We start from the raw sequence: 12,157 nt of genomic DNA on the forward strand, positions 1-12,157 counted from the left end.
TCTCTTGGACATCCCAGGCATTTCCCCACTGGGGAGTACTGTGGATTCATTTTCACACCAAGAAAATCAACAAATGCAGCTTGCTGGGGATGACTGTCCAGCCTGGCATGCTAAGGAATTTGGTAACCAAGGGAATCAATAACAATTTGTTTGGGCTTGTACTTTTAATGATTTAGACTTTGAACAAGCTCCTTTGGATTGTATTTATTGGTATATGAGGCAACTTTTCTCAAATCCTTTCTCACATCTGGAAGCCTTTCCCTGGCTTTCTCTCTCTTGACAGGAGGTGGCACCTGAGGTGAAGCTGAGTGGGAGGAAGGATAGAAGCCCTGGCTGGGACTGCTAGCACCCACCCAAGCCCCTTTGACCCCCATCTGCTGGCGTCTACTCCGCTTATCACCCTAGCATTTCACCCTCACGGGAGAGATGATGCTTGAGGGGTAAGGACGGAGAGGCAGACAGGAGCCACATTACAGAGGACTTGGAATGCCAGGCTGAGAATTTTGGACTTTCTTCTGTAAGAGCCACAGGAGCTTTTAAGCAAAGGAGTGACGTGGTCTGGCATATAATTTAGGAGAACCACTCTGGTGCAGACTGGGGAAGACGTTGGTGTGAGGTGAAACCAGCGTGAGGGCCGCCAAAGCTAGGCCAGGTAAAAGGCCGTAGGTAGTAATATGGTAGAATGGTAGTAATATCCCAGCATGAAAGTGACAGAGCTGGCTGCAGCAGAAAGGATGGGATTGATTCATCCATGGAGGAAAAGGCTGCTGTTAGTTACCAAATTCTGTTGTCTTTTCCTCCTTGGCATGTGGCTGGACCACTTGTCCTATGGCTGCTATAACAACCACAAACTTAATGGCTTGAAACAACATACATTTGTTTTCTTACAGTTCTGGAGGTCAGAAGTCTGACAGTGCTGGCAGGGCCGCTTTCTCATGGGGGCTTCAGGAGAGAATCCTTTTCTTTGCCGTTTCCACCTTCAAGAGGCCACTTGCATTCCCTGGAGTGTAGCTACTTCTGCTTTCAAGGACAGTCACTCCAACCTGTTTCTATCTTCATGTTTCCTTGTTTTTGATTTGTTCTGTTTTGTTTTGTTTGGCCCTCTTTGCCCACCTGTATAACCCAGTATCATCTCATATTAAGACTGTCACGCGCGTTCGTGTGAAGAGACCACCAAACAGACTTTGTATGAGCAATAAAGCTTTTTAATCACCTGGGTGCAGGCGGGCTGAGTCCGAAAAGAGTCAGCGAAGGGAGATTAGGGGTGGGGCCGTTTTATAGGATTTGGGTAGGTAGTGGAAAATTACAGTCAAAGGGAGTTGTTCTCCGGAGGGCAGGGCCCAGGGTCACAAGGTGCTCAGTCAGGGAGCTTCTGAGCCAGGGGAAGGAATTTCACAAGGTTAATCGCTCAGTTAAGGTGGGGCAGAAACAAATCACAATGGTGGAATGTCATCAGTTAAGGCAGGAACTGGCCATTTTCACTTCTTTTGTGATTCTTCACTTGCTTCAGGCCATCTGGATGTATACGTGCAGGTCACAGGGGATATGATGGCTTAGCTTGGGCTCAGAGGTCTGACAAATACTCTGACCTTAATCACTCCTGCAAAGTCTCTTTGGTACTTAAGGCAACATGCTCACAGGTTCACATAGGGATGAGGACATGGACATTTTTGAGAGCCCTTATTTTGTCTACTACACCACTGTTCCCAGTCTGGCCAGAGAAATGGGACCTCTTTTTCAGGCCTGGCCCACAAAACCTCCCTTGTCCTCCATGTCTTTCCTTTTCTCTGTGCTGAGGACCCAGAGGGGAAGCAGAGCCAAAAAATGGGGGCGCCTGGGGCCCTGGATGACCAAGCAAAAGGCTAGTCATTCATAACTGGAAATTTTCACTTTACAGTTTATACACTCTAAATTTTTAACATTCTTATTATCTCTTATATTATTAAGTATGTGTAGAATTTAAAAATACCGCTGAGGAACATACACACTGGGCCTAGTTCAGTGGAGAATAAGCCTCTGTGTTAAGCCGCTGTTTAGTCAAGATAAAGATAGGCTTGGAGTCTCCGATGGAACCCTTTGCCTTTGAGGTGTCAGGTGGGCATCCCAGTCCATATCCAAAGTCCAAATGTAAAAGTAAGAATACATCTGTTACCTCAGAGTGAAAAAATTAATAAGGCAATAGATCTAAAAGATCATAGATCTAAAAGATTCATAAATGTTTCTCCTCCTTTCTGTTTTTAAATTAGGTTTTCATAGGAACCGATTTCTGGGGAGAACAACATATTTTAGATGCAACAAATTCATCTGCAGTCAGGCTTAGATCAAGCTTCGTGAGAGGCTTCGCGGCAGTGGGGGTGGAAAATGGCAGGGATGAGACCATGATGGTGTAAGAGGGAAAGGGCTGGAGGAACAGGGCAGGGGTTTAGGGCAGCCCTCACTGGTGGTCCACGTTTCTGAAGGAAAACAGCTTTGGTTAAGGTCTGAAGTATTTTTCAATTCTACACATACTCAGAAATAATATGAGGTAATAAGAATGTTTAAAATGCAGCCCCCGCCCGGCCAGCCGCCCCATCCGGGAGGGAGGTGGGGGCGCCTCCGCCTGGCCGCCACCCCGTCCGGGAGGTGAGGGGCGCCTCTGCCCGGCTGCCCCTTCTGGGAAGTGAGGAGCCCCTCTGCCCGGCCACCACCCCGTCTGGGAGGTGTACCCAACAGCTCATTGAGAACAGGCCATGATGACGATGGTGGTTTTGTGGAATAGAAAAGGGGGAAAGGTGGGGAAAAGATAGAGAAATCAGATTGTTGCTGTGTCTGTGTAGAAAGAAGTAGACATGGGAGACTTCATTTTGTTCTGTACTAAGAAAAATTCTTCTGCCTTGGGATGCTGTTGATCTATGACCTTACCCCCAACCCTGTGCTCTCCGAAACATGTGCTGTGTCAACTCAGGGTTAAATGGATTAAGGGCGGTGTAAGATGTGCTTTGTTAAACAGATGCTTGAAGGCAGCATGCTCGTTAAGAGTCATCACCACTCCCTAATCTCAAGTACCCAGGGACCCAAACACTGCGGAAGGCCGCAGTGTCCTCTGCCTAGGAAAACCAGAGACCTTTGTTCACTTGTTTATCTGCTGACCTTCCCTCCACTATTGTCCTATGACCCTGCCAAATCCCCCTCTGAGAGAAACACCCAAGAATGATCAATTAAAAAAAAAAAAAAATATTTAAAATGTAGAGTGCATAAACTGTAAAGTGAAAATTCCCAGTGGCGATGGCTAACAATTTTTTGTTCAAGTTTCCTGAATTGTTTTTCTGTTCATGTACTCATACACGCATGCCCACCCGCCTCAACGTTTTCAACTTGCCTTTGATACTTATGAGATCTTGGGTATACTTCCTGATCATTACCTATAAATCTGCCTCATTCTTTAATTACTATTGAGAGACATTTAAGCTGTTGTTATTTTTATTTTTTCTTATTACAAGCACCGTAAGAGTGAATAGGCTTTGAGCACTGGGAGAGCTCCTCGGGGAATCTATCCACTGAAGAATAAATCTCTTGGAGTGAAATTGCTGCATCAAAGAGTAGGAACATTTTACAACTTTAACAGCCATTTAACATTTCCTCTAAAACTCTCATACCAATGCCCCTTTCTTGAGGGGCAGAAGTTGTAGAGTCAAGGAGGGGCTTGGAGCAGAGGGAGGATGGATTCTTGTTTGAAAACCTGAGGGAGACAGGAGGCTGGGGCCCAGAAAGAATCAGAACTCACTGCTCTGAATTGCAGGGGCCCAGGGGCCAAGCCCTGGGGAGAAGGGCCATGCTTGATCTAATGCTCCACTGTCACTGTATTGAAATTCTTAATTTTTTAAAGAGAGGCCCCACGTTTTCATTTTACACTGGGTCTCTGGAGGAAAACCGGGGCGGGGCCAGTGAGTACTTGTCCTTGTGGTGAGGGAGGAGCTGCATGGACCGCAGTTGGCTTGAAGTCTTGGGAAAGTTGGACTCCTAAGGAGGAGGCGCTCAGTGCACCCAGCTGGGGTCTGAGGGCCATCGACCCAAGGAGCAGCTGGACTGGGGGCCAGTAGGAACCTTTGTATATTGGCTCCCTTAGAGTATCCTAAAACAGTGCCCCAGTGGTTCTAGAGTGTGGTCCCTAAACAAGCGGCATCAGCATCCCCAGAAACTGGTTAGAAATGCAGATTCTCGGCCAGGCGCGGTGGCTCAAGCCTGTAATCCCAGCACTTTGGGAGGCCGAGGTGGGTGGATCATGAGGTCAGGAGATCGAGACCATCCTGGCTAACATGGTGAAACCCTGTCTCTACTAAAGATACAAAAAATTAGCCGGGTGTGGTGGCGGGCGCCTGTAGTCCCAGCTACGAGGGAGGCTGAGGCAGGAGAATGGCATGAACCGGGAGGCAGAGCTTGCAGTGAGCTGAGATCGGGCCACTGCACTCTAGCCTGGGCGACAGAGTGAGACTCCATCTAAAAAAAAAAAAAAGAAAAAGAAATGCAGATTCTCAGGCCCATAGACCTACAGAACCAGAAATTCTGGCAGGGCCCAGCAATCTGTGTTTCAACAAGCAAGCCCTCTGGATGATTTTGACAGGCGCTCAAGCTTCAGAGCCACTGTCTAAACCAACCCTGAATCCAAGAGGGACCTCTCAGGGTTGGTTTCTAGAAGAGCAACAGTCTTCTGGCCTCTCAAGGCAGAAGTGAGCCCTACGAGAAGACACTAAGGAGTCTGACTTTTCTCTTGCCCAGACCAAGGCTTCTGAAGGAAAAACTTTGGACCATTACAAGCCTCCTGAGAATGTTAACTTGCTTTTTCTCCCCCTCCATCATGAATGTAATCTACAGGGCTAATAAAATGTCACATAGGCCTCATTTCTGTGGGTCCCCTGGTGGATACAAGATATAGTCTATAATAAGTTCTCCCCACATAGGGGGATAAAGAAAAGCCATGGAAAGACGAATATTCTAAAAGACTTTTTAATGATGTGAATTCTGCTTTCAAGAAGCTAAAAGCCGCCGTGTTAGCTAATAGCTCTATGATCATATTTTAGACTCCTGGAAGTTACACACATCTAAGGTAAATATCTTTGTCAGGAAAGGGGCCTCGTGGGATGCACAGAATATGAGAATATTAGAATTCTAAAGGGCAGCTAGAGATGGTAATAAAGTTGTGTCTCATCTAGGAATAATTTTGAAAAATGCTAACGCAAATTGTAGAAACTCTCTGAAGAGTTAGTTCTTCGTGCTTTGGCCCAGTAGAATGAGTTATGAATGCACTGTATAGAATAGAAATTACAGAGCCATACTGGGTGTGGGGGGTGAGCCAAGGTCTGCACCATCCCCCTCCACTTCCCCACGAGCTAGGCAGAGCAGATGCCATTTGAACTTGCAGTGGCTGAAGCTCAGGGGGTTGCACACATTTATTTATTTTTGTTTATTTTTTATTTATTTATTTTTTAATTGAGATGGAGTCTCGCTCTGTCACCCAGGCTGGAGTGCAGTGGAACGATCTTGGCTCACTGCAACCTCTGCCGCCTGGGTTCAAGCGATTCTTGTGCCTCAGCCTCCCAAATAGGTTGGACTACAGGTGCGTGCCACCATGCCCAGCTACTTTTTTTTTTTGTATTTTTAGTAGAGACAAGGTTTTGCCATGTTGGCCAGTCTAGTCTCAAACTCCTGACCACCCGCCCCAGCCTCCCAAAGTGCTGGGATTACAGGCGTGAGCCACCGCGCCCAGCCACACACATTTAGAAACTGTGCAAAGGAAGTGTCCATTTCTGGTTGAGTGGAGGCCTTTCACTGTGCCCTGGGTTAAGGGCATGGCAGGCTGAGGGCAAACCTGGGGTGCCCAACTTCCCTACCCTGGGAGCCGGGGCACCACAGGCCCGTTACAGTCCTGAAGGGGAGCCATTTTTCACTGGACATTTCTGCGCTGTGGGGATTGGTCGGAGCTGGACCTTCCTCACTGCCTATCTTCTTTCCTTGGAATTCTACAAGCACTTTGTGAGCTTTCTGAACCAAGGCCCTCCCTCCAGGTGTGTGGGAGGATGGACAAACTCAGCCCGCAGAGTTGGAGAACAGTCTTCCTTTCCCTGCTCTCTGTTCCCCGTAAGAGGTGCCTGGTTTGTGGAGACAGAGGTCTGCAGATCTCTCTTATGTGTGCCCAGATTTTTATATTCTCTCAGCAGCACTTTCCCCTAAAAGGAATCTCTGGGTTTTCTATAGGCTGGCTGGCTGCAGCCACACCTGTGCCTGTTGGAAACATGTGCAGGCAGGTGGGTGACAGATTGATTCACAGAATTTTCTCTAAGCTGCAGGTGTGAAAAGAAGATGAACTCAGGGTATCATAACTGATGAAAAGGCTGCATGGATAGAATTGACTTTCCAAGTCATTGACACCAGCAGGAAAACATTAACTGGTCAGAGCAGCTTGTTGGGTCAAATGCCCCAGAGCCACTGGGGGCTCTTTTCCTTCTCCTTGGTGTCAGCCCACTGGCAATCTCTTGTTCATCTTCTCCAACACATTTGCAGTGAGAGGGGACATGATACTGTTGGACAGATTTGCAAATGAAAGTATGTGATATTCTCTAAAGTTTGTGGGCATCTTCTGGACCTTGTAAGATTAAAAAGAAAGTCTTTTTTTTTTTTTTTTTTTAAGACAGAGTCTCAATCTGCCACGCAGGCTGGAGTACAGTGGTGCAATCATGGCTCACTGCAGTCTTGTCCTCCTGGGCTCAAGCGATCTCCCTCCTCAGCCTCCCAAGTAACTGGGACTGCAGGTGTGTGTCATGATGCCTGGCTAATTGGAAAAGTTTTTTTTTTTTGGTAGAAATAGAGTCTCAGTATGTTGCCCAGCCTTAAAAAGAGAGTCATAATAAATTAGCCAGGCATGGTGGCGGGCGCCTGTAGTCCCAGCTACTCGGGAGGCTGAGTCAGGAGAATGGCGTGAACCCGGAAGGCGGAGCTTGCAGTGAGCCAAGATCACGCCACTGCACTCCAGCCTGGGCGACAGAGCAAGACTCCATCTCAAACAAAATAAAACAAAACAAAAAAAAACAGTCATAATAAAAGATTATTCTCCAGATACACTGCATTTATTTCTTTTTAAAATTTTCCCTTTTACGTGACCTTTTCTTTCAAGAACGGGCCTCTGATGTTGGGTTTCCTTGTGTCTGCTGCTTTTCCTCCTTCTGAGATCATTCTTTGTGACATGATCACCATGTCCCTCACCTCTACCTCAGATGCTGTGATTGGTGGTTGCAGGTGGTGAGAAGAAAACAACTTGCACGGATGAATTCTTGAGACCTGGGCCCTGTATTTATCTCAGTGGCTTCAATACAGGGCAGGGAAGCTCACAGAAGTTGTGACACACAGGTGTAATTATGGCTAAGTGGAATGCTTTTCAAAACTTTAGATGGCATTGTTGGGTTTGTGAATAAACTCTTTTCTGCTCCCAGGTGGCTCCCAGGAGCAGAGAAATTCAAGCAGGCTGTTGTGTAGGCTGAATTCCCACCTACTGCATGGAGAAACTGGAACATGGACATGGAATAGCATTTCTGCATGGAATCTGTTTTTTTTTTCTTCTCTGGCTTTGAAATTTGCATTTCTTTTAGTAAAATAAGCTGGTTCAAAAACGTGTACACACCCTTGTTTTGTCCATGTCACTTAACAATTCCAAAGGATTTTGCATTTTTACAGGTTTTTTTTTTCTTTCAAGAATTCAGTGAAATAGAGCTAGTGTTAGCAGCTCCATATTTTAGTTGGGAAACTGAGGCACATTCTAGGCCTGGCATCTTATCTAAGCACAGTCTCTCTCCACTGTGTGAATCACAGTTTAGTGCTGTCCAAATCAGGGTTCTTCGTTGCATGCAACAGAAACTGACTCATGATGACTGAGAGAAAGAGAATTGCTGGGCAGATCTGGGAATTGCTAGGAAGGCAGGAGAGCCAGGCTTGGAGAATGGTGGAAGCAGAGGCACTGCAGCATGGACGCTCAACTGCCACTGCTGCCACTCTCAGATCAGATTCTCGTCTGCTCCTGTCCCTGCATGGCTGACTAGCCAGACGGAGGGCACAGGCTGGGCCTGGGTGCAGAGGAGCCCAGGAATGCAGTGTTGGCTCCTCTTTGGCATCTCCAGTGGGATATGGACTCTGCTCTCCTATTGGGGAAATTTCCAAATATGGGAAACTGATTTGGTTACTGATGTATGCTCAAATCTTTTGCCCATTTCTTTCTTGGGTTGATAACTTATTAACAAAAATTTCTTTCTAAAAAATTCTTCTGTAACATCTGTCTTTAGGAATTTCTGGGAAACAAAAGCATAAGGAGTGGAAAGCCAGCTTATCCCCAAGCCATAAATTTAACATTATATACATTTCTCAGACTAAAATATTTATGGTCAGTTGTATGTTACACAGGGTTATTTGGAAAATTTTGGTGTGTAGAATTAATAAGGAGCCCTAGGATGCCTTGATCTCTCATTTTCTAACTGTCAGGCACAATCCCAGAGGTGAAGGAAAAATAATTAAACAATGGAAGAAAAAAAATCTCATTTGCTGTGTTTTGATTTTCAGAAAAGATAACGTTCTAAAAGCCATAACCTCAGGAAACTAAGAAACAGTTTCTTATTTTGAATCAATTATTTTAATCTGTTAGTTTTTCTGTAATTATAATAAAAACATTTAACTGAGAGTACATTGATCCGGTAGAGTTTCGTACCACTTGCTTTAAATTGCACAATCCCGTTTTTCCCACCACATCAGTTAAAATGTATTGAACATTCATTACAACCTATCATTAAGGAGATGTATAAAGACCCAATCTTGAAGTGTTTAGCAATTAGGTAAAGTGGGTTGGTTCCCCATGAGAGCGCTGCATTTAGCTACCACATTTCACAGAGGAGCAGGGCTGTTTAACCTCCCTGCCTATAAAGAAGACAGGCAAGGACCTCACCACTTGATTTCTGGCTTGATAATCTAGTCAAGATATTTCACACTTTTCTAATGTTCACATGTTGGATTTCCCTGCTGCCTGGGCCCACCACCATTCTATATTCTGTTTTCTTCCTTATCCATTCCCTATTCAAACTCCACATCTACCTGACAGCCACTGGGCAGTGGCCTCTGTCAGCACATTTTATGAGAAAGGGGAAGCAGCTGTCTAGTCCTTAGAGCCTCAAAAGACCAGTGTTAGCCAAATGCGAAACAAGGGAAAACTTGGAAAGCTTGCAGATCAAGACAACAAAATCCAAAGACGCCTAGGGGAAGTCCAGGCTTCTGGCTGGAGTAGAATTTGCTAAAGTTAGAACGATTCTATGGTCCGCTCTCAAGTAAATGCTTCCATTAGTTCAGTGATAGGCTTTCTTGTGGAAATCATGTAGACTTGCATCTGCGAACCCAGTGACCAGTGTTGTGTGAAGAATTGGTTTCTGTGATCATTAAGATCTGTTTATTAAGATGTGAGTTTGTGGAACTGTTGTATTGAAAGAGTAGGAATCCTGAGGACTCATAAAAACAAACAAACAAACAAACAAACAAAAAACTCCACATTTTTCACTTTGGGAGGCTGAGGCTGGAGGATCACTTGAGCTTAGGAGTTTGAGATCAGCCTGGGCAGCCTAGTGCGACCCCTTGTCTACAAAAAAATTTAAAAAATTAGCCAGGCATGGTGGTATGTGCCTCTAGTTCCAGCTACTTGGGAGGCTGAGGAAGAAGGATTACTTGAGCCCAGGAGGTCAAGACTGCAGTGAGCCAAGATCGTACCACTGCACTCCACCCTGGGTGACAGAGTAAGACCCTGTCTCAAAATAAAAACAAAAAATGCCACATATTTTCTCCTCTTGCCCCTCAACCCCCTACAAGTGCTCTCTTCTCCCACTTCTCCCCATAGAAGGAGGGAGAGGAAAACATACACATCTCAACACTAGCATTCCTCAACGTCAGCTCTTTAATACCCTCAAGGTGGTATTGGGCTGATTGAAATTCCTGATCTCTTCTTTTGCAAGTCTTGTGTGAGGGATCTGTACCAACCTGTGAAATGTGGGAGTACTTGACACCTATTGACTCCAATGGAGCTTTGACCAAAGCTGACCCATTTCATCCTATTGGGTCCGTGCATGCAAATTATCATCTTTACCACCATCATCATCATCACTACATTGCCCAACTTGTTTTGTATCATATTTAATCAAAATTCCAAAAGCAGGAAACATTGCATAAGAGAAAGTGGGTAGAGTTTCGGAAGTAGTGATGCAAAAAATAAAAAACAAGTATGGATACATAAAATTGGAATAAGGCTAAAAACCACACACTTAACATCAGTGGGCCAAAATTTGGTTCTGAGCTTTTGAGTCAAACCAGGAGGAGTCCAACTGGTCTTAGAATGTGAGCCAGAGGGATATTTTTGGAGTTCAGGTAATCAGTAGATTGTGATGATGACAGCATTTCTCATGTATTTAAATTGAATTTGCTTTTAAAAGCTAGACAATTATAATGCTATTAATTTCCTCTATTGCTCACCCTTCCTTCTAAAAAGCTCCAACATTAAATAAATGAACATAAAAATCCCCCCAAAAAAACCAAATCTGCCCAAGACACAAAATTATTTCCACCTTACATGTGAAGTTGTGAACTATCCTACCCATGAACATTGTTACAGAGGCCATTTTCAGTAAAGAGGAAACAAGAGTCCTCTCGTGGTGAACAGCAGTTTTTTGATTGTGCAGTATCCATTCCATAATCGCACCCAAGGGGTGGGCACGGGATCCAAGCAGGCTGATGGGAATTCCCTCGCTGGAATTTGAATCGCAGAGTGATGTAGAGACAGAAAACGCCCAGCTGTCATTCATCCAGTTTCTGCACCTCGGTGGGCTGGAGTCCAGTCTCTGAGGCCCCCCACCCCTGGCTAGACCTACTGACCCTGTCCTTTGTGAGCTTGGACCTTCTTCCTTCTTCCCTCTCCTGTGAGACTACCAGCCTCTCCCTGCCCCCCTCAGCCTCCTATAACATCTTTTTTTACTTACGATAATCAGAGACTCAGTTCCTGTTTCTTGCAACCCAAGTGTTCTGACTGGTATGCTTTCAATACGGTTTCAGAGTGAAATACAGTCAGTGGGATGGTTTTAGGTGGCACACAAGGAACATTTACATTTTTCAGTTATGTAATTATTTTAATGCACATTGCGAAAAACTATAAACAGCACATCAAACCCACAATGTCATGGGTATTATTGCTTAGAATGACTTCAATACATTTATTTAAGTCGAAAAGTGAGTCATTTAAAAGGAAAACGCTACGTGATAGTACAGGTGTCCCTGGCTATGGGGGAGAAACAGTCTCAAATGTGCTGTGCAAATAGCTTGCAGAGGCCATGAGGACGTCACATTTTTGTAAGAGAGCGAGCGCTAGATCTGAGTTTTGAGGAGTTCCTTCTACCATCGTGGGACACGGTGAGAGATGAGTGGTTGGGGAGGTCAGAGCTGGGGGGAAACCTCCTGCCATGGCCCAGAGAGAGGGACCAGGCATGGACTGGAGAGAAACGGATGGCTGCCCTGAGCCTCACAGATGACCCTTCATCCTCCTCCTCCTTGGCTGGCAGGCATAAAGCAGATCAACCAAGGTCCAGGGGAGGAGGGGCGCTTCCAGAGCCCTCCCGGGGTTTCTTTTCTTTCTCCGTTTTCCCTTCTTCCTTCCCCATTTCCTTCCCTTATCATTGAGTGTCCCCTAACCACCCCCCTTCCCCCACCTCAGGCCTGTCTGGCTTCGCTGGCTGAGCGGCCCTTGTGGTGGTTATGGCAGGTGTGAGGCTTTAGAGGCCATCCTGCCCTCAACAAGGGGATGGCTGTGGAGCATCATCCCAATTCTGCAGCCTCTCATCTGAAGCTCAGGCCATCAGGAGGGAGCCCTCAGGCTTCTCTCTGACGTTTCTTCCATTTGTCAACCTCTCAGCTCCTCAGCTCAGGTCACAGACAAGGTGGAGGAGCCCCCAGCACGTTTAGGCAGGCTCTTTCCCTGTCACCCCTCACCACCCCGCACCATACACTAACCTGGAGGTCTCCTGGGTACTTTGCCAAGTCAGGGAATGAGAAAGGTCTGACCCTGTGGCTTCAGGCTAGAACTCTCCCCCATCTACTTGGCTCTGGTCCCTGAGCC

At 45.9% G+C, this 12,157-nt stretch overlaps 3 annotated features.

Annotated features, from left to right (window-relative positions):
• Positions 1,054 to 1,836: an enhancer, noted in NCBI's record as "NANOG-H3K27ac hESC enhancer chr3:142791070-142791852 (GRCh37/hg19 assembly coordinates)". NCBI's record gives its function as "activates a minimal SCP1, AML or CMV promoter by ChIP-STARR-seq in naive and primed H9 embryonic stem cells {active_cell/tissue: H9 hESC(naive and primed)}" and the evidence as "EXISTENCE:reporter gene assay evidence [ECO:0000049][PMID:30033119]".
• Positions 1,201 to 1,399: a silencer, noted in NCBI's record as "fragment chr3:142791217-142791415 (GRCh37/hg19 assembly coordinates)". NCBI's record gives its function as "represses an EF-1alpha promoter that drives an FKBP-Casp9 reporter gene in an ReSE screen in phorbol 12-myristate 13-acetate-treated (for megakaryocytic differentiation) K562 erythroleukemia cells {active_cell/tissue: K562(+PMA)}" and the evidence as "EXISTENCE:reporter gene assay evidence [ECO:0000049][PMID:32094911]".
• Positions 2,619 to 3,400: an enhancer, noted in NCBI's record as "NANOG-H3K27ac hESC enhancer chr3:142792635-142793416 (GRCh37/hg19 assembly coordinates)". NCBI's record gives its function as "activates a minimal SCP1, AML or CMV promoter by ChIP-STARR-seq in naive H9 embryonic stem cells {active_cell/tissue: H9 hESC(naive)}" and the evidence as "EXISTENCE:reporter gene assay evidence [ECO:0000049][PMID:30033119]".

The sequence above is a fragment of the Homo sapiens genome, chromosome 3, assembly GCF_000001405.40.
Source record: "Homo sapiens chromosome 3, GRCh38.p14 Primary Assembly".
Lineage (NCBI taxonomy): Eukaryota > Metazoa > Chordata > Mammalia > Primates > Hominidae > Homo > Homo sapiens.